A 27,926-nucleotide genomic window follows, 5' to 3' on the forward strand; every position below is an offset into this window, starting at 1 on the left:
TTGGATACAGTGTACACTGCTCAGGTGATTAGTGCACTAAAATCTCAGAAATCACCACTAAAAAATTTATCCATGTAACCAAAGACCACCTGTGCCCCAAAAACTATTGAAATAAAATTTAAAATATTTTAAAAATTTAAAAAGATGTGTGATTGACACATAATGGTTATACATATTTACGGGTTACAACATGGTGTTTTGGTACATGTATATATATTATATAATGATCAACTAGGGCAATTGACATATGCATCACCTTAAACATCATTTCTTTGTGATGAACATTCAGTAACCTTTCTTCTAGCGATTTTGAAATATACAATGCATTGTCGATAACTCTAGTCATCTTACTATGCAATAGAACACCAGAATCTATTCTTCCTAACTGTAACTTTGTAGCAATGACCAATCTCTTCCCATCCCCCGACTAACTCACTACCTTCCTCATCCTCTGGTAACCACTAATCTACTTTCTACTTCCATAAGAACAACTTTTTAAATTCTACGTATTAGTGAGACCATGTGGAATCTTTCTGTCTCTGGATTATTTCACTTAACATAATCTTCTTCAGATTCATCCATGTTGCTGCAAATGACATGATTTCACTCTTTTTATGGCTGAATAGCATTCCATTATGCCTGTATATCACATTTTCTTTGTCCATTCATCTGTTGATGGACATTTAGGTTGATTCTATATCATGGCTATTATGAAAATTGCTTCAATAAACATGGGAATATAGATACATCTTTGATATACTGATTTTTCTTTCTTTTTTTTTTTTTGGCGGAGGGATATACACCAGGCAGTGGGATTGCTGGATCATATGGTAGTTCAATTTTTAGTTTTTTAAGGCACCACCAAACTGTTTTTTCAAAATGACTATACTAATTTACATTCCCATCAGTAGTGTGTAAGGATTGCCTTTTCTCCAAATCTCTCATGTTTTAATATTCAACTTATCTTTTCTAAGACTTAGCTCTCCTTTCACTGGTCCCCGAATCACTGATTTTCTGTTTCCTCATTTTCTTTTAATCATGTATTGCTTGTTAGTATCTTTTTTGAATGGTAGTCTTGTATATTTGTCTAACTATTTATGTGCCTTACTTTCCCCATATAGATTATAAACCCCTTGAGAGGAGAGATCATGTATCATTTATTTATTTGTTTTCTTGAGAACCCAGTGTTATGTATGTAGTAGATGTTCATTAACTTATAATAAATGTTTTTCATTTCATTTCACTTTCTCAAAATCATTTTTGCCAAATGAACTTATGATGAATGAATGCAAGAATGTGAGTCATTAATTTAAATCAATATTAATTTAATTACCTACTGTATATGTAGCACTATATTGATTGCTTTGTGGGGATAGAAAAAACAAACTTGAAAATTGCTTTAGGAGTAGCTCACAATCTAATTTAGGAGAGAAAAAAATACAAGTATGAGACACCCCCAGAACAATTATATAAATAAGTAAAATAAATACTCTAAAAATTTTAAATATCAGTGCTAAGGATATAAGAAAATGTAAAAGCATGACTTAACTATATATATATGTGGTACAAGCAGATTGCTTTGTCTGGCATAAAGGGATTATGTTGGAACATATAGAGATGGTATTGGAGAATACAAGGGTTATAAATTTAGATTTAATATAATAGGTAACAGCAATTTTTTTTTTTTTTTTTATGAGACAAAGTCTCCGCGGCTGGAGTGCGATGGCGTGATCTCGGCTCACTGCAACCTCCGCCTCCCAGGTTCAAGCAATTCTCCTGCCTCAGCCTCCCAAGTAGCTGGGATTACAGGCATCTGCCACCATGCCCGGCTAATTTTTGTATTTTTAGTAGAGACGAGGTTTCACCATGTTGGCCAGTCTTGTCTCAAACTCCTGACCTCAGGTGATCCTCCCACCTCGGCCTCCCAAAGTGCTGGGATTACAGGCATGAGCCACTGCACCTGGCCACAGCAATCATTTTTTAATTAATTTTAAAAATTTTTGGTAAAAGTAATAGTTGATTAAATAAAATAAAGTTCATCTATCCAAAGGAATACTAATCCGCTATCAATAGTGATAAGTATTTATTGACTTAGAAAGATGATCATGATATAGTATTTAGTCATGCAAACAGGTTACAAAATATTATGTATATAAATTTGTTTTTTTAAATAAAGGGTATAAATATGCATTAAAATATCTGGAAGTATAATCAACAAGGTATGTTTACATATAAGTAGTGTACTCCATGGTTATTTTTTATTTGTGTTTTTTTTTCAGCAGATATTTTTGGTTGAAAAAATGCATATGTAAATTTAAAGACACTACAAGTTTTCAAGGACTGTAGTGATATGAAGATAGAACGTGAGGTAGATTGCTTTAGCACCTATGCATAAGGATATCAAACGAGCAAGACTTATTTGATGAGACAATGGAAAGGGCACATTTAAGAGATGCTTTGGAGAAAATCAGTTTTACTAGGTTTCTAATTTAATGTGGGATTAAGATAAGGAGACTGAAAACAACACTGAAGTTGTGAGAAACATAGGAAAATATAGGTGCCACTAATAGGTATGGGAAAATTGAGAAGGAAAGCAAGAGGTGGAGGAGTTAACTTTTGCCAGGAGTAGTATAAGAGGTAACCAACTATATGAGATGAAAACTGGAAAAAAAAAAAGACTTAGAAGTCAGGGCTGGAGATATAGACTTGGGTGTAAAGAGTGTTAGTATAGAAGTAGAAATTATGAAAATGGGTGCATACGGTGAGCCTAAAAAAGCTAAGTAAGGACTTAAGAAAATCCACTAAATTGTTTTTATTTACTGCATCCCTGTGTGTTTTTTAAAAACCTTTATTGAAATATAATTACATACCATAAATTTCACTCATTATATGTGTATAATTCAATAATTTTAGCAAATTTATAGAGAGTTATGGGACCATCACCATAATTGTTAGAATTTTCCTGTCTCCCCAGAAAGTTATCTAGGGCCTGTTAGCAGTCAATCCTTGTTTTTACAACCAGGCTTAAGCAAACACTCTTCTGTTTTCTGTCTATATAAATTTGCCTTTTCTGTACATTTTATCTAAATAGAATCATACAGTATATTCCTCATTGTGCCCAGCTTCTTTCACTTATGTTTTTGAGGTCCGTCCATGTTATAGCATGGATCAATAATTTTTCTTTTTAATTGATGAATACTATTCCATTGTATGACTGTATCACATTTTATTCATCCATTTACTAGGTGGTGGATATTTGGACTGTTTCCAGTTATTTTTGTTATTATGTGTAATGCTATTATACATGTTTACATACATGTATTTGTGTAGACAAATGTTTTTGTTTCTCATGGATATATTTCTAGGAGTAGAATTGCTGTGTTGTATGGTATATTTGTGATTAATTTGTTAAGAAACTACCAAAATATTTTCCAATGTGGCTGTACTATATGACATTACCATCTGCAAATGCACTGTGGGCCACTTTCTGTGCGTCCTCATCAACACTTGGTATAATTTGCCTTTTTTATTATGGCCATTCTAGTGTATGTGTAGTAGTTTCTTGTTGGACTTCTGATTTGCATTTCCCTAATGTGTTTTCTTTGAAGAAATATTTATTCAAGTTATTTGCCAATTTTTAATTTTTTGGTCTTAAAAATTATTGACTTGTAAGAGTTTTTCAAATATTCTGGATATGATCAGATATATGATTTGCAATATTTTCTCTTATGTTCTTTTAATGATGACTTTTGAGTAACACAAGTTGATGAAGTCCAATTTATAATTTTTCTCTTCTTTGAAACATGCTTTCAATATTTTACCTAAGAACTCTTTGCCCAACCCCAACTCATCAAAATATTCTCCTATATTCTCTTCTAGAATTTTATAATTTTAGCTCTTACCTTTAGATCTTACATTTAGGTCTGTGATCTATTTTGAGTTAACTTTTTATATATGGTGTGAAGTGTCTAATTTCTTTCTTTTCAAAAAAGATGGATACACAAATGTCCATTTGTTGAAAAGACTATCGTTTTCACCACTGAAATGTCTTTGTCCTTTTGTAAAAAATCAATTGACCATAAATGTATGCATTTGTTTTTAAACTGTCAATTCTGCTCCACTTATTTATATTATATGTCAACACCACATTGTCTTAACTGTGGCTTTATAGTAAGTTTTGAAATCAGAAAGTATGAGTCATCCAATTTTACTCTACGTTTTCAAGATTGTTTCAGCTATTCTGGATCCCTTGTACTCTTATACGAATCTTCCAATCAATGTGTCAGTTTTAGATCAACTTGTCAATTTCTGTGAAGAAGCCAGCTGGTATTTTTATAGGGGTTGGATTTAATCTATTATTCAAACTAGGGAGAATTGCCATGTTGACAGTGTTGATCCTTCCAACCCAAGAGTATGAAATGTCTCTTCATTTAGTTAGATATTCTTTAATTTCTTTCAGTAATGTTTTGTTTTTCGGTGTATGAGTCCTGATAGAACCTCTGAGCTAAATGAGCTAAGGGTGGGGAGTTATGGGAGCAGCTGTAGGCCACAGTTACCTACTATTCTTATCCAAAAGGCAGAGATTTTTCAAGCATAAATGCTTCTTAGATGGAGGTATGTTTTTGGTTAATTTCCAGAGTACCAAAATGGTTGCTTTTGTTAATTTTGTCCAGGCTTATACAGGTTGAATATTCCTTATCCAAAAGACTTGGGACCAGAAATGTTTCAGATTTTGGATTTTTTTGGATTTTGAAGTATTTGCATTATACTTACCGATTCTATAGCCCTAATCAAAAATTCAAAATCCAAAATGCTCCAATGAATATTTCCTGGGAATGTCGTGTTGCCACTCAGAATCTTTTGGATTTTGAAGCACTTTGGATTTCTGATGTTCACATTAGGTATACTCAACCTGTAATTCTTCTGTGGGAAAGGATTTCCTGATCTTCTCATCTGGTCATAACTGGAAGTTCTGTCATCTGTGTATTTTTATGAGAATTTATGTTCCAAGTGCTTCTAGCTCCAAATGCTCAGTAACATAGTATGTATTGAGATGCCAATTCAGTCAAAAAACATGTTAAACTAACACTTGTCTTATAAAGACAAAACATTTAGGTTACTGAATAGTTTCCTTTTTTTGCATTGAATAGACTATGTTTAGCATGGTGATGAAACAGTTACTGAGATTGGCTTTGTAATTTAAATAAACAAACAGATATATTCCAGCACTTCTTATATATTCAATACCACAGGAAATAATGGGTGAATAAATCATCATTGCTTCCCTAAGGATCCTGCAGACTAGGTAGTAGTTATGTGCTGCTATTGAACCATTATGGCACTGTCATATTTTTAATTATGTAGTTACTTGTGATTTATTTAATATGAACATCCATAAAATCTATGAGGTTAGGAACCATGATTGTATTGTTTACTTCCATGTTGTCAGCATTTCCTAGCACAGTGTTTGGAACATAATAGACACTCCATAAATATTGTTTGAATGAATGAGTGAACAACATGTCATGGAAATATAGGGCAGAAGGAAATTAATTCCTACTAAGAGGATCAGAAAAGTCAGGGATTAAAGGAAAGGTTTCCAGCCAAAGGAAAGAATATGATTGTTTAAACTCAAAGAGTTAGAAAAGACCCAGAAATATTTGAGGAACTGTAAGGTATTTTCTAGGGCTGTAGCATAGGAGTTATAGTGATGAGTCAAAAAGAAAAGAGAATAAGAGGAAGAAAGTTAAGGGGAGATGAGTTTGGAGAAGCAAGTGGAAGCCAGGGTCTTTCTGACAAACTAATGACATTTTAAAAAGTCAGGGTTTTATTTTAAAGTAGGTAACTAGAGTTGGCAGTATGGAAGATGGACTGGACAGAGAAAAGAATAAATAATATGTATGCAAGCTGGGCAAACCCAGTGTACAATATTTGTATAGCCATCTGTATTATGTATAGGAGCCTCCTAAAAGCTTGAGAGAGAGAGAGAGAGTGTAATGTCACTGAGATATATATTCTTTAATTTCAAAATTTGCTTTGGAATTTTTGTTAAATAGAGCCACATGGTCCTCCCTTTATATCCTTGTGACAGCATGATAATTCTTAATATTAACAATTCTAACAATATGAAATTACATCAGTATGACACATTTGCCTTTTTGAAGTGTGCCCCTATTAGTACTATATTTGATTTTCACAAAAACCCACAAGGTAGAGACAGCATTTTTCATTTTACCAATGTGAAGACTATCCTAATAAAGACTAAAAGATCAGCCTATGGTTTCATAACCATTACAAGTTGAGATGCAACATTAGAACCCTTTTTGAAGTCCAAACCCCTTCTAAAGGTAGCATTCATCCATGCATTTTAGTACTAATTTTATTGCTTTTGCTTTTTGTAACTAATGTTTCTTATAGAAGTTTTATAAGAAAGTTTTAACTTTGAAGTAACAACAAGGTTAGCATTTGCTTCTTTCAAATTGCTCTTTTGAAGTATTTCCACAGTGTAAAAGGTTGAATAAAGAATTACCTAGATAATAGATTATGAATATAATATTTGTTAAAATTAAAATGTTATTATCTAGTACAATAAAACACCTGTATTTTAGACCTTTTACAAAACCCAAGGTATATTTTTTTTAAAGGGAAAGAACAAGTGAGCACAGAGAAAAAATAACATTTGGTTGGCAGCACAGGGATCATCTTGTATGTTTAGAAAGTGAGAGTAAGATCAAGAGAAGCAGAGGTAGAAATGCAAAATGCAGATGAAAAATGTCAATATTACTGAGCATCTTTTGAGAAAGATGATATTACATGCTTGTTTATAATATTTTCATATGGAATATCTTTTTTTTTGCAGTAAACCACTTTGAAAATATTCTCCAGTTAATATAACACAATGAAAAACTTCTGCCATGGGATTTTTACAATTAATAGACTTTATACTAAACATTCTTGAGATCTCTTTAAAAGTTGATTGCTTGTACTTTTAAAATTCGATGTAGCGTGTGAAATCAATACAAAGGGGTCAGAAATTCAAGGTGAAATTAGGAAAAATTTAAATCCCCAGTAAGATAAAACACCTGCAAAATTAACCCAAGAGATGACTGGTGAGTAGATAATTCAATTTGGAAACACCCAGAGTTTTGGTTGAGTCTGAAGGAGACACAAATAGACCGTGATTATAAATTGAAAAAGTAAAATCTAATCATTTAACAGGAGAATGAATTATCAGAAGGAAAACAGCTCTATTAGGGAAAATCAGAGAGCTAGTTGCAGGTTTCCAGCACTGTCTGGGAAAGAGGGTGTCCTGATTAGTAGATTGGAATATTCTAGTCCCTATCTCAATGATGGAGATGGGTAAGTACATCAAATTAAACCTTGAGGCAGTGATCATTAAAAAAATCTACTGACTCTCTTTTTAGTGATTCCAGGCTCACCAAGGAAAACTCTGATTATGATTTTAATGTATGATATACATACAAAAGTATGTATATCCTTTAATAGAGATGTAATATGCTGGTTATCAAACTAAACATTCCTGTGTTTATAATATTTCCCAGTATAAGCTATTGCATGGGCATTCTAATTTATACTTAAATATCTTATGACTTTAGACAGGGAGAATTAGCCTCACTACTCTTGGTGCTACTGGGACACTGCAGAATAATAGTGTCTAATTGGAAGGAAATAAATATGTCTATATAGAAGGGCATGTTGGTGACAACATCCATCTGTTTGCAGTTGGTAAAAGAACTAGGTGATGATAGAGAATATGCATATTTTTCCTATTCTCTGTATTGTTTTTATGTGAAATTTTTCCTATGGCAATGGTTTTCAGACTTTAGTTTCTATCATAATAACCTGAAGACATTTTGTTTTTGTTTTTTTTTTCTGAGATGGAGTCTCACTCTTGTCGCCTAGGCAGGAGTTCAATGGCGCAATCTAGGCTCACTGCAACCTCCGCCTCCTGGATTCAAGCGATTCTCCTGCCTCAGCTTCCCGAGTAGCTGGGATTACAGGCGCGTGCCACCACGCCTGGCTAATTTTTCTAGTTTTAGTAGAGATGGGTTTCACCACGTTGGCCAGGCTGGTCTCGAACTCCTGGCCTCAGGTGATCTGCCCGCCTAGGCCTCCCAAAGTGCTGGGATTACAGGCGTGAGCCACCATGCCAGGCCCCTGAAGACATTTTTTAAATTCCTAGGTCTTATTCCCAGAAATTCTGACACACTTGGTCTGGGATGAAACACAGGAATCTGCTTTTTTTTTTTTTTTTTTTTTTTTTGAGACAGAGTCTCGCTCTTTCGCCCAGGCTGGAGTGCAGTGGCGCGATCTCTGCTCACTGCAAGCTCCGCCTCCCGGGTTCATGCCATTCTCCTGCCTCAGCCTCCCGAGTAGCTGGGACTATAGGCGCCCGCCACCACGCCTGGCTAATTTTTTATTGTATTTTTAGTAGAGACGGGGTTTCACCATGTTAGCCAGGATGGTCTCGATCTCCTGACCTTGTGATCCACCCACCTTAGCCTCCCAAAGTGCTGGGATTACAGGCGTGAGCCACTGCGCCTGGCCAGGAATCTGCATTTTTAAACTTCACTCTGTATAATTCTCATCCTGAGGGTTAATGAACTATGAGCAGCACTTTTATACAGAGGAAAACTTTCTTAAAAGGATAGTTCACTGCTGGGCAAAATTTCATGGGTTTCTGTTAGGTTTCTGTTAACTGACTGAATTGGTAACAGTCTAACCAGTTCTAAGCCTGTGATTGGTCAGAACTGTGTATTCAAACTACAACGAGCGTTGAGGAGTTACCAGGCAGCTCGATAAAAATAACTGATTTGGGTTGGGGCTAGGGCAAGACAAAATGGCTGCCATCTTCACCCGCCGTATGCTTGGAGGTGAAGAACAGAAAATAAAATCCTCTGAGGGGGCCCTCTCTGTTCAATAGCAGAAGCAAACAGGTAAGTGTCGATGCCAAGGAGTAGCTTGGGAGACAGAATCCCATTAAAATCGCCATCATCTTCTCATAGCCACCTCAAAACAATTTAAGTAAAAACAACGTGTCTCTTATGGAAGTGCAAGTTTCCTTTCCAGTGTTCTTTCTCTCAGACCCAGATTACTGCCTCTAAAACTTCTCTGATACAAAAGCTTGGAGCTTCTTCAAGAAATGAGCAATTATTTAATTGAGTATATGCAGTTAGAATAGGATTCGGGACATAGGGGGAGGGGAAACTAAGAGCTGGAAATTGCTTAAGAGTAGTATAGGCGGCCGGGCGCAGTGGCTCACGCCTGTAATCCCAGCAATTTGGGAGGCCGAGGCGGGGGGATCTCGAGGTCAGGAGATCGAGACCATTCTGGCTAACACAGTGACACCCCGTCTCTACTAAAAATACAAAAAATTAGCCGAGCATGGTGGCGGGTGCCTGTAGTCCCAGCTACTCGGGAGGCTGAGTCAGGAGAATGGCGTGAACCCGGGAAGCGGAGCTGGCAGTGAGCCGAGATCGCGCCACTGCACTCCAGCCTGGGCGATAGAGTGAGACTCCGTCTCAAAAAGAAAAAAAAAAAAAGGTAGTGTAGGCTAGGGTTACAACCAGGAAGTGTACGAACTAGAGTTTGAATTAATCAGACTTCAAAGTCTATATACCCCTTCCCTTGATTTTTCTAATTTTAATGTGTATAAGAATCAACCGGAGACCATGTTGAAAATGTAAACTCATGACAAGTTCCCCCAAAATTATGATTTAGTAGGCATTCTGCAAAATCAAAAATCTGTATTTTTAATAAATATAGGCAAGTTATATATATATATATATATATATAATATATCATAGGCAGGTTAATATATTAAAAATAAAAATATGTTTTTAATAAAAATAAGACAGGTGGTCAGTGGGTATTATTTGAGAAACACTTTTTCAGAGAGAAGTTTCTCCAACTTTTTAATCTCAGGATTCCTTTGCACTGTTACAAATTACCAAGAACCTTAAAAAGCATTTATTTATGTGGTAAATAATATCTGATATATAGTAGCTATTGATATTTGTGGTATTAAAAGTAAAACTGAGAAATGTTTACAATATTTAACCCGTTTGAAAATACCAAGAATAAATCCATTACCTGTTAACCAGGTAACACTTTATAAAATATAACTGTATTTTCCAAATTAAAAACATTTAGTGAAAACAAGATATACTACTGCATATTTTTTAAAATCTCCTTAATGCCTAGCTTAATAATTTTCTTATCTGTTTCTACATTCAGTCTGTTGTGATATGATATTTTAGTTGAAGTATATGAAGAAAATCAGACCTTACACAAATACATAGTTAGGAAAAGGAGAACCTTGGAGACTCCCTGAAAGGATCTTGAAGATGCCCATGGTCATGGGACCATACTTTGAGTTCCTGTTTTTTAGGAATAGCTGTTTTTACTGTCAGAGTTCTATATTCATCAGTTTTTGTTGGCAATCAAAGTTCAGGGACACTGAGGAACATTAAAAATGAATTTATTTCTTAGATTACTTAGGGTGGGGAAAATTATTTTATAAATATTACCCCAGTCGCTCTTTCATTAATTTACTTTATTAGGTTTAAAGCACTATTGAAATATAAAATAGAAGTGTAGGTGATGGGGAAGAATTTTGTTTAAAGAAATTGGGTTTTAGAACAATGATTAGATTGAGGATAGAGTGGTTTCAATAGGCAGTGAGGAAGGAATACGTTAGGTAAACAATTATAGGTAGAAAAAGTGGGAGAGCAGGGAGCAATCTATAGTTATTTATAGTAGATAGTTGTTTACAATTGAATAAATAACAATAATGTTAAGAAAGTGCTAATCGTAACTTTCTAAAAGGGGTGATTAATTTGCCTGATAAAACAGTATTTTCTTGTGGTCACATACCTCCTCAAATTTTCTTACATTTTTTGTTACTCTAAGTTTTAGTTCTGTAACCTAAAACTTACTGCCATGTTAGTGCAATAACTTTGACAAACATTATCTTATTTCTCATTTATCTGTGGTAAAAGTGGAGAACCTGAAAAGGAACCTGGAAAGAAGCAGCTGGAAAAGGTGAGAGGAAAACCTAGAGTGTGTGTTATCCTGCAAGCCAATTGAGGTAAGTGTTTCAAGGAAGAGGGAGTGATCCACTCTGTCAAATTATGCTGATCCATGAGGTTAAAATGAAGAATAATCATTGATCATGAGATTTAGTGACATGGAGGTCATTCATAACCTAGAGAGGAAAAGTTCCCATGGAGTGTTTGAAGTGAAAGTTCCATTGTTATGAGTTCAAGAGAGACTGAGAGGAAAGGAGTTGAAAACTTTGTATAAGTAGCTATTTCCAGTTTTGCTGAAACAGTAAGCAGAGAAATGGAGCAATAGATTTTAGAGGAAATGAGGTTAATACAGGTGGTTTCTTTTGGTTTGTAAATGAGATAAATAATAGCATGTATATTTGCTTATTTTTTTGAGAGCTTCAGTGGTGAACTCTGAAGACATGAATCCTTTCCTTATAGAATCCACGATCTAGTGGGGGAAAATGGTATTAAACAAATGATTACACAAATAATTAGAGTATGATTACCACACCTAACTTTTTCAAGGACATCAAGAAAGGCTTCCCTATGTAAATGATACTAAGGTTGCACTTAGGGAGGGAATACTACTTGAAAAGGTCTTGGGCAGAGGGAATATGGCATATCAGGGATACTGAAAGAAAGAAGCTACTGAGCTTGAAGTACAGACAGAGGGGAGAATGAATTTGGCAGAAGATAAAGAGGAAGAGTTAATCAGTGGCTAAATTATTTAGGTTGGAGTTCATAGATTTAGTTAAGGTCTTTGGTTATTATGCCATGTACCTTAGGGATTCTTGACTTCGTGTGTTTGGCATAACAAAAGTAGACTAGCCAAAACTGAAAGGTAAAAGATGGGACAGATAGAAAGCAGAAAGGAAAGGTGAATTGCATTACCACTATTCATACTGCCACACACATGACATTAGGCCAAGTCTATCTGCAGCTTCATCATCAATTATTTTTTCTCATAAATACTAAATTTATTCAGTATTCACAGCATTGAGATATTTCTGTCTAACTGATCAAATCATATAGTAAGCAGGTCCAATTTGTTTGTTAATATGTTCAGTAACAACAGATTGTCATTCCCTACCTAATATCCTCCAGCGGCTTTCTTTTAATCTCTTAAAAATAATATATTTTCCAACTTTTTCTTATGAAATTTTTAAGCACTTGGAAAACCTGAAGACTAACACCTATATACCCGCAATCTAGAGCCAAGAACTTTTATCATTTCGTTCTATTTTCTTTCTCTGTTTTGCTGCATAATTTGAAAGTAAGTTACAGACCTCATGACGCTTCATATGCACATACTGCAGCATATATTGCCTAAAAATAAGGGCATTCTCTGTAATCTCAGTATTACCATATTTAAGCTACTTAAAGTATTTTCCTATCATCTAATGCCTAATCAGTATTAGATATCTTAGAGCCTCCCCCCAGTTTTTAGCAGTTTTATTGGAGTTTTTATACCATGAGAATTATTTATTTTAGGTGTACAGTTTGATGATTTACTGCAAATTTACAAAAGTTGTACAGCCATCATCTTAATCTAATTTGAGAACATTTCTAGAAAGAAGCCTCTGATACATGTTTTTTTTTTAATTGAACTAGGATTAAATCAAGGTTATGTCTCTTTAAAGTTTTTTCCTAAAATAATTTTTCTTTTAGTCCATGAAATTGATTTTTAGAGGAAATCAGCTGTTTTATGGAATCTTCCACATTCTAGATTTATCTGCCTGTTTTTTCATTATGTCATTTAACTTTTTCCTCTATCCATCCCCCAACCGCCACTCCCAATATTTTCTATTAAAGTCCTGGTTAGACTCATTCTGATATATTTGGAATAAAAACCAAATTTGCTAATTATTTTTCTTCTCTAAAATGTAAGCCCCATAAAGCCTTCTCTAATACCAGTGTGTGGTTCACAGTAGGATCTCAATAAAAATTTGTTGAGTGAATGAATGAATCACCTACATTCAGGTTATATATTTTTGCCATCCAGTTTCAATCTCAGCTTAAGACATTTTTCCATTTTAAATTTTCTCCCTCTGACGATGAATACTGAGTGATCCCTCCACATGTTTTTTCAAATCATGCCAGTTATGGAAATATAGTCCTTTTTGATTCCAGTATGATAATTATAATATAAATTTGCACAGTTTTTGATGCTTCTGACCATTACGTGCTATTATTTTCAGTAGTCATCTATAATTTAGTTACGTTAACAAATATACTCTGGCCTTTGGATTTTAAGGAAATGTACATATACATAGACATTTCTAATGTGAGAAAATCTAAAACTCATATAAGTGTATCCAGCTTCAATAAATAACGTAGTACTTTTGGCTGTTTCTCAGCCAGTATATTTACATCAAATTCTCTGTTCTCTTTTCAGAAATACATTAAAAAAATTTATGTGGGGGTGGCAGTTTGCAGAAGGCACTGATACATGTAAAACCAAGTAATGCTATTTAAAGCCATGCACAAATAGATATGTTTTGAATTATGTTCACTGGGAAAAATAGTAAAGAACTCCCCTGGTATTTTGCTTCCTATGCTTAAGGCCTTATCTTTGATAAGTTGTTAGACGAGATGACATGTGTATCTTGGCACAACTAGATGCTAGGGAAATGTTGACATATTTTAGATTGCAAATCGGTTTGTATGCACAGTGCATTGCCTCAAAGTGCATATTATGGTCCTCTACTATAAAATATATTGCTTTAGTTTAAAGCTAAAATGTAGATGAAATTATAAGAAATAAATGGGAAGTCCAGTTTGATCTCAATCTGAAAGTTTGAAATAATTTTTCATTTGCATACTGGTCAAATCCAAATAAAATTGATTTTAGGTGTTCAGTGCTGAACAACACTGGCTTAATAAGATTTGTAATTTGAGGAACCTTGTCAAGGATTTCTACAAAACTTACAAGACATTTGTTAAATAGGAACTAGGACAATGGGCAGAGAACATAGGGCAAACCTTATTTGTTTGGGGTGTATTTTTATATAAGTAGTCATATCACATAGATGGAAATAAACTAGTATTTAATTAGATTTGTTTCATGTAAGGTGACCCGTGAAAATAGAGGGGCTGGAATTTTCAGGGCTCTAGGACATTTTGGTTACTTCATATGTAGTCATGTCCCACTACATCTGAACATAGGGCTCTAGAGCAAAATCTGTTGTCAAGAAAGAATCAAGAAAGTTACTAGTGAGTATCCAAAACATATCAAATGCATTTTCAAAACAAGTACCTTCTTGGAAAATGCGTATTTGAAGTTGGTATTTATGTATATAATGGTTTTCTACAGAGGATTTCCTAAAGCATTGACACTGGAACTATAGAAACTATTGTTATTTAGTTCATGGCTTCTTGGCTAGGGTAAAGTGCTAAAGGGTCAAAGCTTGCAAATTTAGTTTCTCTGAGGGCCTTTACGCTTTTTATTAGACTATACTCTTAGACTTTCAAAGAATTTCAGAAGTATATGCAGGACAGATCCATTCCTACTACTTGAGAAATAAATGGACTTTGTCGATGATGACTCAGTCATATCACCTAGATGTCCATTATAGTAAACACAGTATTCTATATATCATCTTTAAATAATTCCTGTCGCGTGCAAAGTGCTTAATTTAAACTTAATATGTGATCGAATGAATTAAAAACATTTTACATATTTTGTAGCTCTGTCCATTGAGAAGGCCTGGAAGAAACAATATCCCAATAGCAATAAGCACACCCAGTGCCAAGGTCTTGTTTTCTATTATCGTTCTGCAGTAAAAGGAACCCGGGCTCTGTAGAAATAGCTGATTCTAGGGCTAATGCAGGGGTTATACAAAATGGTACTGGAACATCTTGTAAGAGCCAGCAAGTAAGGGAGTACTTAAGAATCAAAATGAGGGAGTTAATGTCAGAGGGACACAGGAGCTAACTAAAAGAGCTTTCAGTGGCCAAAGCTGGAATAGTTTAATCAACAAAATAAAATTGTGTTGGAATATTACCCAAAGTATAAAATTAATACTCATGAATCGATACTGGTATAAATAAGTGACTTAATACATGGGGATAAATGGAAAAATCTCCTGTACAGATGAGTTCCAGAAAATTTATGTAGGCATACCACCATCAAGAAGTTGAAATGTAACTTCCCGTTCTTTAAGTGTGGGCTGCACATAGTGACTTTTTTCCCAAAGAGTACAGTACGGAAATGGGAGGAGAATAATCTTAGAGTGGAGAAAACTGATAAATACTACTTTGGTCAGGTGATCAAGGTTAGTAACCTTAGCAATAAGTTAGTAGTACATACCCTTGATATGATGTGATGAGAATGGTACTTTGCCTTTGTGTTATTTCTCCCAAAAACTTACAATCTAATTATAGCTATGATAAAAAAAAAAAAAAAAAAAAAAAAAAAAAAAAACAACACTAGACAAACCCAAATTGAAAAGCATTCTAGGCTAGGCACTGTGGCTCACGCCTGTAATCCCAGCATTTTGGAAGGCCAAGGCAGGTGGATCACTTGAGTCCAGGAGTTCGTGATCAGCCGTGGTGACATGGCGAAACCCTGTCTCTACGAAAAAATACAAAAATTAGCCAGATGTGGTTGCACATGCCTATAGTCTCAGCTACTCAGGAGGCTGAGGCAACAGAATCGCTTGAGCCCAGGAGGCAGAGGTTGCAGTGAGCCGAAATGATGCCACTGCACTCCAGCCTGGGCAACAGAGTGAGATCCTGTCTCAAAAATAAAATAAATATAAAATAAACCTTCTATAAAATAAATAACTGATGATTACTCCTCAAGACAGTCACGGTCATCAAAAACAAATTCCTCTGCCACAGTTCAGAGGAGCCTAGGAGACATGATGCCTACTTGTAATGTGGTATCTTAGATGGATTCCTGGGACAGTAAAAGGACTTAGCTGAAAACTAAGGAACTTTGAATAAAGAATGGACATTAGTTAACAATAGTGTGTCAGTACTGGTTCATTAGTTGTGGTAGATGTTCCATATCAATGTAAGATATTAACGGTAAGAGAAACTAGATGCAGGGGATACAGGAATTCTCTGTACAGTATTTGCAAATTTTCTGTAAATCTAAAATATTTTAAATAAAAAGCGTGTTTAAAAATACATATCACTTGATTGGCATAAAAGCTAAACAATAGTGATGATTTGTTTTTCTGAATACAAAATTCAAAATGTCTTACTATATTAAGGTAAATGAGAGAGTGAAGTGCTCATTTCTTTAAAACAAACATTTGACAAACATTTATACTTGGAGCTTCTACCCTGTCACGTCATTCTTTTCTATCTTATCACTTGCATCTACAATATTTTGTTGCTTCTATAAGCTTTCAGATATCATCCTTAAGATGGCGGAGATTGACTGTTTGTCACTTGACAGTTCTGTAGAGGGAAGAAAGAGGAAGAGATATTTTAAATTCTCACATTTTCCTTAGAATGACAAATGCTCCATGACAGAACTATGCTGGAGGGAATATACATGAGAAGAACTGTTTCCACACTGCACAGTTTTCTACCATGTTGATTCCAGTCAGGATAAGAGTGATAATTTCTGCTTCAGAACAGTCATGTTGACAACTAGAATAGGATGTGTTCATGCTTGGCTTTTATTTAGGAAAAAAAGGATATTATATTACACACCCTTGCTGGAGCTATGTATTTCCTGGAAATTAATATATATGATTAAATTTTCCAAAAAAACCTCTTTATTTTTCATTTGTCCTGTGACTTAGATTGCACTATTGTTATTTTCTATATTATCATCCAATGTGAAATGGCCAAACATATTGTGGTAATTAAAGATATTGTTATATGTGAAGATTATTGTCATTTTATAATTTGACAGGCCCATTCCTATCTTAAATCCTTTAAGAAACTTTCTAAGATACATTTGTTTCAGCAGCATGGTAATTTACATAAGCTAGTGTGAACAAAGAACATTAAGGTTTTTTTTTAAATAGGAGCCTCATCCAAATGTCCAGATATTTGCAGAAGAGTTGAATGCTTCAGATTAAGGCTTAGAGGAATTTCCAGCTACTTTGAAAAAGATGTTTCAACTCAAATTTATGTATCTGTGAGAATTTATCTACAATTATACATCTCAGTGAAAATTCATTGGAATCATTTGTAATCTTTAAATGATTTAGAGGTAGCCTTTAAAATAACTAGTTTTAGTGATATTTGTGGTAGAAACTACATTGTGAAACATTTAAATATCTTTTCAGTGATCTTACATTTATATTGACATTTACCTAAGTATGTTTCATAACAGATGGTATAATCACTTTCAAAAAGGAGAAATTGAGATGATTACTAGTTTATAAAAGTAATATGAATATTTTGTACTGTATTCAGCTTTTCCTTTGTACCTCAAGGCCTTAGCATCTGATATTCCTTCTGATTGGGGCATTCAAACAATTTTGGCTCTTTTATTACTCCCATCCTGTTTAACTGCTTTTTCTGGCTAGCTCTGGTTTATACCACAGGTCTCAGATGATATGTCAGTGTCTCAGATGATATGTCAGTATCTCAGACTTGACCTTCCCTTCTGAATTAGGTCTCTGTTTCTTTCATAGCATCCTGTACTTTTCCTTCATCTCCCCAGTCATGATTATGATTATATACTCATTTGTTTCATATTTGTGTAATAACTATTACCTTTACTAAACTGTAATATCCATTGCATAGTATCTTGGCACATAATAGATTATCAAAAGGGAATTGTAAGAATCAATGAACAAATATTATTATAATATCCAGATTACTAGCATGATTGTCACAATTTATATCTAACCTTTACAGGATTTTAGCATATTTCATGAAAATAAGTAGATGTACAGAAAATCAAGTTACTCTTTGTTCTATAATAGAAACAGAGAAGATAAGCCACAGTGCTTTTAAAACAGAGTATTTGAGCAAGAGACTTTGTTGGTGTTACTTTTTCTCTTTTCTCAATTTGATTTATCTTCTAGGAAAGGATCATACAGATTCTTCAGTTCAGAAGAACTCCAGCAACACTTACATGGTGACAACACCCTCTCCCATTCTCTGTTGTTACTCCAAATTTTAATTACTGGTCTCAAAACTCCTGTCTTAATCTTAGCAGACAACCTTGGCACTTACCACTGAATGAAAATGAAGGCTATTATGTGAGAAATACTTCATCTTTCTCCCTTTTACCTCCTACCACCCTACAAAAAATCCTGCATCCATTCCCTGTCTTTATTCTTTGCCTCTGCTCTTGGGGGAAGAAATTCTTTCTATCTCTGAATTTAATTTCATTCCTTTCTGTTTTCTCTGTGATATTGCCACATTAGTTATTTCTTCTCTTACCTAGGTTTTTAAAACATGTTTTCTTTGTACTTTATCCTTCTAGATGCCCTATGAATATGCTCAAGTTTCTTTCATGTAAAAAAAAACACAAAAGAATTTTAACTCTGCATCTTTCATGGTTGCCTTCTTATCTCTTTACTTTCCGTATTGACTGTGACTATGTACTCTAGGTCTCTACATTCTCACCTTCAATTCAGTCTTTTAACCCACTGTCACCTGGCTTGTGCCTTCACCACTTAGCTGAGATTGCATTAGCAAAGGTTACTAATGACTTCTTGATAGCTAAGTATAATGGACATTTTCAGATCTGAACTTGACTGATCTTCTGCATTTAATACTGTTGTCTGTAACAAATCTTTTCTATTTTTATGAATTTTTCAAAGGTAAGGATAATACTTGTTTTTTGTAGAAAATTTAAACATTACAGAGTCATAAGGATTCTTATGCTCACCTTGAAACTTTATTCACCCTGTGTTTCTTGACTCTTTCTTTTCTGATACTGGTCCAGCTCTTACTACTCTGGCTAATTTCTTAATGCATACTTTGTAGGTTTTTCATTCACTGCCAACCCCTTGCATGTTGGTGTTCAGTTGGATCCAGTCTCAAACTTTTTTCCACTTGAAATTTCCCTGCAAAATAATTTAGTTTTCTCTCATGACCCTAGCTATCACTCAGCGACTGCCAGTTCAGTATTTCTAACTCAGATCACTTTCCAAAGTGCCAAATCCCATACATCCTCTTTCTTACATGGATAATTGTCCATAAATCTCATAGGCACTTCAAACTTCAGGAGTCCAAAATGGAAACTAGAACCTTTTCTCGAAGTCTGTGCCATTTTCTCTATTACCTAGTCATTGTCATTGCCTTTGGTCTAATGTGTCGAGCCAGAGCCTTACCCCAGATTTCTTTCTCTTTTTCATCCTTTGTATCCAATTTGTCACTAATTTCAATAGAATCTTCTCAACATGTCTCATATATTTCTCATTCTTTTCATTCACAGTGTTGCTGTTTGAGTTCAGACTCTTTCATTTCTTGTCTACATGAATTTTTAAGTGGTCCCATTGCCTTCTGTCTTAACCTGACTTCAATCCGTCTGTCACTGGGCAAATAATTGTCCTTAAACACTCAAATATGACCATATCATTTTTCTGCTTAAAATAGTGTCTCCCCGTTAGCTTCACTGTAAATCCCACAGGAGAGATTCCAACCACCTTAGCATACCACCCAAAGCCTTTGTTAACTGGCCTTCGCCTATCTTTCTAGCTGATGTCAGGACTAGGTCTCAAGGGACTGAAATTAGAATGGATTATTCTATTGTAAGTGTCAAGTAACAGAAAGAAGCTGCAAGTTGAATATGAACTGAAGTATTTAAGAGTTTTGAATGGTCAAATCAGAGACACAATGATATTTGAGACGTGGTTAGGGTAAGAGTAAGAATGAAAATTACAGAAAGACCTAAAAGGGCTGCCTATAAATAAAGAGGAAGGAGAATAAGATCAAGAACACAGAAAATAAGATGTTGGAAACTATCACCAAGAGTCACTGAAATGTCTATAGCATTGAGCTTATGATGGGTAGGTATGTTAGGTTGACTTAAAGGATCAGATTTAAGATGGAGATTGATAGAAAAATCTATTATATGTCTGATCGTCTTTCTCTTCTATATAAAAGACTTTATTGGCTCTTGTATCAACTATAGGACAAAATTCAAGATTTTCAAATGACCTAAGAGGGCCTCCATATTTAGGCTTCTTTTTATCTCTGCAAACTTACCTCCTTCCCCCTGCCCTCTTGATCTTTAGGTTCCATCAACTCTAAATACCTGCTGCTCTTTTCTCATGTTTCCTCTGCCAAGATTGTCCTTAATTTCCTCATTTTCTGGGTAAATGCCTGTTCATTCCTTAAGACCCTATACAGACATCACCATCTCCAGGACACTCCCTCTGAATCCTCCTTTCTCTCAGAGTTACCCATCCATCCATCCATGCATTTATTTATTTGTTTATTATTGAGAAAATATTTATTGAGTGCTTAATATGGATCAGATTCTATGTCAGGTAATGGGAACACCGTGGTGAATAAGATAGGCCACACATGACCTTTACCCTTCTTGGTCTTACATTTAGCAGTGGATACACATGTATAACGCAATAATCACAAATAAAATAATTACCAATTTCATAAATGCTACAAATAAAATAAACGATGAACTATCATACAGAAAAATGAGGATGAGGGGTAGACAGAGAGGCAAACCACTTTAGTATAAGGTTGAGCCATAAAAAGTTGTTGATCTTTAAACTGTTTGTGTCCCATAAAATAGTTTTACATAGTTTAACCTAATGGTTGACTTTCTGAGGAATTGACATTTAAGCTGAAACCTGAAGGATGAGGTGGAATTGGCCATGCTGGCTAAGCCTATAATTCGGCATGTTCCAGGAACCAAATGAAAAGAATTGAGAAAAAAGGTGAGTGAAACAAAACAAAAGTAAGAGACAGAAGTAGGGCAGATCATATAGGACCTTATAGGAGATTGGATTTGTTTTTCATTAAAATATAAAACCACTGGAGTTTTTTAAGATCCCTCTGTTTACAGTGTGGGACTAGAATAAAAGGGAGTAAGGTTGGAAAAATGCTACCTATTAAGAGGTTGATGTAAGGAGACAATTTGGTGTTGCCTTATTTGTGCAGCTTGGAATCAGGCTGCCTTTGTTTAAATCCTGGATATGCCATTTATTAGCCATGTTACTTCATGTTCAAATTTTGAGTTTTACTCTAATTCTCTAAGCCTCAGTTTATCTATCTGTGAAATAGAGACAATGATAGGATCAACTTCATAGGTCTGGCCTTGAGATTGAATGAGATAATCCATTGCAAACACTAAGCAGTCCTTGACAGAGAATAAACACTTACTAGGTACTAGAGATTAATAGCCCAAGCGAGAGATGATAGTGGCCTGGGCTAAGTTGATGACAGTATATTTGGAGACAAGTGAATGGATATGAGGCCTATTGTGGAGGTTTAAATATCAGGATTTAGTAATGTATTGGATTTGACCGTTGAGGGAGAAGGATTTCTCAGTTATGACTCCTGGGCTTCTGTCAAAAGGAATGGAGAGGGTTGTGTTGCACTTTCTTGAGTTGGCGAAGGTCTGTCTGGTACAGATTTTAGTTTTATAAATTTCTCTCTATATACTATATAAAGCAGGAATGAAAGAAAGGAAAAAGTTAAGTATCATACAATGTAAGAGAAAATGGCTATTAAATATTTTAGGTATCTGTCAGAATCTTACATGAGGTATATAAAACACTTTTAGTTTATATTATGTTTATACCACAGTGTCTATAATATGTAAAATTTTAAAATGTGTATATTGTTTGTTCCCATGGTATAAGATTTTGGAAATTTCTACTGTACTGTGTGATAGGCAGTGTTAACAATTAAGCTTATATGTTTGTTTGTCTTTATATTAAAGGTGATTTGTAATCATTCCATCTGCTTCTCTTACAGAATGGAGCTTGCTTGATATTTCACTAGATAAAGAATTTAAGGCGAGTATCTATCTTTGTTCTCCTTGGCAACTGAGAGTCTGCCCTTGGAAACATCAGGCACCATGGGGAAGCGGGATAATCGGGTAGCCTATATGAATCCTATAGCAATGGCCAGATGGAGAGGCCCAACTCAATCTGTGGGCCCAACAATCCAAGATTATCTAAATCGACCAAGACCCACCTGGGAAGAAGTAAAGAAACAATTAGAAAATAAAAAAACAGGTTCAAAAGCATTAGCTGAATTTGAAGAAAAAATGAATGAAAATTGGAAGAAAGAACTTGAAAAAAGCAGAGAGAAATTATTAAGTGGAAATGAGAGCTCATCTAAAAAAAGAGAAAGAAAGAAAAAGAGAAAGAAGAAATCTTGTCGGTCTTCATCTTCTTCATCAAGCTCTGATTCTTCAAGCAGTTCTTCAGATTCTGAGGATGAGGAAAAGAAACAAGGAAAAAGGAGAAAGAAAAAGAAGAACCGTTCATACAAATCATCCCAAAGCTCTACGCATGAATCAGAATCAGAGAGCAAGGAGTCTGTAAAAAAGAAAAAGAAGTCAAAGGATGAAACAGAGAAAGAAAAGGATGTAAGAAGCCTCAGCAAAAAAAGAAAGAAAAGTTACCCTGATGATAAACCTTTATCATCTGAGTCCTCATCTGAATCAGATTATGAAGAGGATGTGCAAGCAAAAAAGAAGAGAAGGTGTGAAGAGCGAGAACAAGCAAAGGAAAAAGTAAAGAAGAAGAAGAAGAAACAGCACAAGAAACATAGTAAGAAGAAGAAAAAGAAGTCTGGATCAAGTCACAAGTCAAGGTAACATCAAGAAAAAAAGCAAGAATGAGTTTGCCGAGTTCCCCTGTGTTAGTAGAATTATTTCTGGACTTTGAGTTGCCTATCAAATCCCACTGTGCCAGTAAGGGGCATAGTGGCTGCTGGCAACTTCAATATACATTTTTGTTTGTTTGCTTGTCCTTCCTTCTAATGGTTAATTCCTCTGAGAGCTAAAATTCTGTTGTCATACCAGTGAATAAAATGTTTGAAATTAAAGTAAAATGTGTTAGATAATGAATAACTTTGACAAAAAAAAGTGTATCTAAGGTTAAATGTATCTAATTCGAATACATCTTTGAAATATCACCATCAATGAAACATAAATGTAATTTCCAGACAATTGTAGTTGGTATTTTTGATGCAAGGACTTAATATTGATGTCTCAAATTCCTTGCTTTTGTAAATAAGTTTAGTTCATTTTCCTTTTTTCTTTAATGAATCTTTGTTTACATGGGGAAAGAGCATGTGGGGTGGGAAGGGCAAGTGTTTGCTAATCACTGTGGCTAGCTGAATAGTGTGCCTTTGACTCTTACACATCCTATTTTTGCCAGAGCAGCAGCCGTCCTTTTCTTACTTTATGAAATTCTGGGGTGTTGTATGCTGCTTCAAGTGAACAAGAAGGACAGGAGTTTACAGCATAAGTAAGCCCCCATATCTATGAAATTTACCTCTTCTTCAGCACTGTTTACTATACAGTACTGAATAATATTTAGTATTACAATATTACATGATTTGAAATAACTTTATACCCATTTTGTATGGGAACCATTCTAAACAGACCCTGATGTTGTTTGATTAAGAAATATTCTGAAATTTTTTTTGCATGTTTTATACTGTTAAGTTTTAATTATCTGACCATATTCTATATAACTGATGATCCTTTTTTAAGATATGATTTATGCTTAGGATATAAGTTTCAAGTTTTTAGTTTCTTAGCCTTGCTATATTAATTTCATTACTGTGTTTAATTGCACCCTTGCCAAAATATTTAGCATGTGAAAAGGTTTTTTTTAAAAAATATGTAATGCCTTCATATTGAAGCTGGTTACTGTACGCAAGTTGAGTGCCAGACCTCTAGTACGCCGTATGTTACATGAAACTACTGCCAAAATCTTAGTAAGATTGTTGTTGAAAAGATTGTTGTCTTAAGCATTAATATTGAATTTATATAGAAGTTAAATGTAGATGATAATGACATCATTGATCTTCCTGTGTCCGTATTTTCCTACAATTTGGTGCCTTGTATCTGTTGCTGATTCACTTTTACCACTAGTGTAAAAATAAGTGAAAAAATATTTTTACTTTACATTTTTATATATCAGAGTAACATAAATTATAAATTTGTGTCTCAAAACCACCTGTGATGGAGGATGTGCTAATTGTAATGTCATAGGTACAAAGTATTTTGGCATGATGAAAAGCTCAATAGCTATTGTTTTTCAATAGCAGATTTTATCTCGGCTACCTTCAATCACAAGTAAAATTATAAAGATAAAAAACATCTACATAAACATGTTGGCTGCCAAATTTTTTGCATTGGAAATACTGGAATCTCTCATTAAAGTTCTTGGAACATTATAGTGATGCCATGTTAGATTACCTTGGAGCTTCATAACTTTAGCTTTTTCCTAAAAATATATGTTTATGCTGATAAAAACTATTACATTTATGGGATATTTTGTATCCATATAGAGTTTTTCAGAATTGTTCATTAAAATGCTTTTTATAAGCTTATATTATTTGTAGAATATGGCAAAAGCATTTACAGCTCATCATGTATCTATCTGCTCCTGTTCACTTCCAAACCTCTTGTAGTTAGGCAATGCCATTTGACTACTTCAAGCAGAGGGATTGTAAACAGAAGTGATTTTCTATTTCCATGTTGGACTGTAAAAAGTTCTGCATGACCCTCCAGTTTTCTTTTGCCTGTCATGGTGACCTGAAAGCAAGATGTTCCAAATGGCATACTTACAAGACGGATGCAACCTGGGTCCTTAGGTCGCTGTTTAGAAGGGACCTGACTGGAGTGCTGATGGACTTGCAGTAAACTTTTTAAGTGTAAGAAATAAACTGTTATGTGTTAAACCACTGTGATTTGGGGTCTTTTTATTACTGCGGAATCACCTAACCTAATCTGACCAATAACATAGAACTCTAGAACATCTATTTCATTATTTACATAAAATAACTCACCTTCTTCTATCACATTCTTCTGTAGTCTACAGATTGACTCAGAAGTGATCATTATGCCATAGCAGAAGGAAATACTCATTGTATTTGCACTGGTTTTTATGTAATGATTGAGGGAGAGAGTGGTCTACCCTATTTCATGCTTATCAGAAATGCTGCCTAGGAAATAAAACTACATTATTCTGTTGATTGTAGTAAAAAAGTTCCAGTAAAGTTTTTGAGAAGGAAATTTTAAAAGTACTCATGAGCACTTGATGAAGAAGAGGAATGCTATTTTTTATATTAATTATAGAACTTACAGCAGAGAAAAGTGCTATAGAAATATGGAGGATAATACACTAAATAGATTTAGTTGAACATTAATATGTAGCTTCTAAATTAAAAGCAACATAATTTTGTCCCTATTTGAAAAGCACTAAAGTTGTTATTAGTGATCTGCCTATGTGCTTAGTAAGGAGTATAGCTTTAGCTATAACATTCAACTCACTTTGGCTATGGAAAGGGCAGCAGTGAGAAAGTAAACAAGAAAGAAGATGGGAGATGGGAAAAATTGATACACTCTAGACTCACAATTTAATTTTGATAACAAAAGGAATTTGAAAGATCTCAGGCTTCAGGTGAAGATTTAGATTGGGGATAAGGAAACAAGAAAATTTAGAGTTCTTGTTTTTTATCTTGTGACAACTCTCTTGATAATTATAAATTTATTTTGAAGAAAAGTTTCATTTGACATTGTGACATTTATGTAGTCATTTCTGTTTGGCCCTATTTATTTTACAAAAAAGACATATTTAATCTAAGATGTAGGTTTGTAACTACGTCATGTCTCATGAAAATATAGACAATCATTCAAAATCACCTATGTAATTTAAAGTTGAACTGACTTTCTCATTCCTGTCTGAGCTGCAAACAAGGTATGTTCTTTGATCATAGGCTCCAGCACTTTTTCTTGACTCTTCATGCCACTTAAGTTTAATTTGCTTTATATTATGTATTTTGTAGACTCATGGACTCTTCGTGTTATGAGCCTCAGCTCTCAGCTCAGCACTAGGTTGAAATTTTCATTCTGCCATTTCTTGACATGTGACCCAAAATAAGTTATTTCACCACCTCTATGACACAATTTCTTCATATACAAAAATCAGAGAAAATGGTATCTGTATTAAACCATTTTTGCGTTGCTATAAAGAAATACTGGAGCCTGGGTAATTTGTAAAGAAAAGAGGTTTAATTGGCTCACGGTTCTACAGGCTGTACAGCATGGCACCAGCATCTGCTCAGCTTCTGGTGAAGGCCTCAGGAAGCTCACACTCATGGTTGACGGTGAAGCAGGAGTAGGCACCTTACATAGTGAGACAGGCAACAAGGGCAGGGGGAGAGGTCCCAGACTTTTAAACAACCAGATCTCTTGTGAACTAACTGAGTGAGAACTCACTTGTCACCTAGGAGACGTTACTAAACCATTCATGAAGGATCCACCCCCATGATCCAATCACCTCCCACTAGGCCCTACCTCCAATATTGGGAATCACTTTTCAGTATGAGATTTGGAGGGGACAGACATCTAAACTACATCAGTACCTATATCTAGGATTGTTATGAAAATAAGATAAAATAACATTTAAAGTATTTAAAAATTCCTGGCACATAGTAAATGCTCAATAAATGTGTTTTTTTCATCCTCCACCTCCAATTATCATCATTATCACATATGACATAATGATGATTACATTATTATGATATCGCCACCTTCTATGCTGCATTTTAACTTTTTTAAAAGTAGCGCCTGCTTCATCTTTTATCTCTTAACAATGATAATACATGGTGTTTTGCATATGATGGGTGTCTCCTAATTTTCATTAAATTGAATTAGTTGAACAAGATTTGGGAGAAAGGAAACTGAATGAATGTAGTATACTAGATGTTGTGTGTAAGCTCCTTGCCTTACGTTTTACAACAGCTGAATTGAGATATAATTCATATACCATAAAATTCACTTCTTTAAAGTATGCAATTCAATGGTTTTTAGCGTATTTACAAATACATGGAAACATAATCAGACTTTATAAAAGACATACTATGGCGATTAAACAGTCACTGCTCCTGCTTTATGGACATATATTTCTGGACCTAACCAAGAATTCCATATAACCACAATGTTAGAACATGTAAATCATCTCAAAAAGAAACTTTGTCCCTTTTATCTTCCCTACTCACCCCACCCATCCTCTCAAGCCTTAAGCAACAACTGACATACTTTCTGACTCTGTATATTTCCCTGTTGTGGACATTTCATATAAATTGAATTATATAATTATGGTTTTTGTGACACTTCTTTCACTTTGTATAATATTTTCAATGTTCATCCATTCTTTATCATGTATTAACAGCATTTACATCAAGATAAAAAGAAAGAAAATCTAGTGCAGTCCATAGAATTTCTGCTAGAACCAGGAGAAAAAAATCTTCCCTATTTAAATATGCCAGACATCATTAATCCGATTTGCACTGATTGAAAAATACTGATTATACAGAAGGCTATTGAGCGTTTATACTTCTTGGATGTAAAAATGTTTGAATATGAATTAATAGAGAAATTGCGTCAATTTTTATGATAGATGCGGATAACATTAACCCAGCACGAGCATGATTTGTGTTCAGAAACTTGGCAAGTTGAAATTGTTTTAAGGAGAGCATGGATATGCTTGTTTTCCTTCCAATAAGCTACTACTCTGAATGATTTAATCAAGAACTCTAGTGTTTTGAAATGTCTTTTCTCAGAAGCTGTTTACAAAGATCAAAGATACAGATTATCTCCCTTCAAAGAAGACGTTGTAATCTGCTTTTCTTTAGTGCCCCCACATAGCTTTATTACTTATTTATCTATATGGTATCTCATTTTCAATCCATCCACTCACCTTCCCATCTTCA

General features: G+C 34.5%; 1 protein-coding gene across 14 annotated transcripts in view; it reads left to right on the forward strand.

Annotated features, from left to right (window-relative positions):
• The window catches only part of FAM133A (family with sequence similarity 133 member A), a 38,585-nt gene extending 13,695 nt beyond the window's left edge, over nucleotides 1–24,890 (forward strand). For 6 of the 14 annotated variants that reach the window (XM_011530926.4, XM_011530927.3, NM_001171110.2 and 3 more), the window contains 2 exons: nucleotides 11,022–11,110; nucleotides 21,942–24,890. In XM_011530926.4, coding sequence (XP_011529228.1) covers nucleotides 22,045–22,791 — 747 coding nt within the window. In that variant the 5' untranslated portion in view covers nucleotides 11,022–11,110; nucleotides 21,942–22,044 and the 3' untranslated portion in view covers nucleotides 22,792–24,890. Of the gene's footprint in view, nucleotides 1–8,847; nucleotides 8,958–11,021; nucleotides 11,111–18,070; nucleotides 20,900–21,941 lie in introns of those variants that run through there. The other 8 variants (XM_011530929.2, XM_011530928.2, XM_017029456.2 and 5 more) reach the window with 6 other exon arrangements.

The sequence above is a fragment of the Homo sapiens genome, chromosome X (assembly GCF_000001405.40).
Source record: "Homo sapiens chromosome X, GRCh38.p14 Primary Assembly".
Classification (NCBI taxonomy): Eukaryota; Metazoa; Chordata; class Mammalia; order Primates; family Hominidae; genus Homo; species Homo sapiens.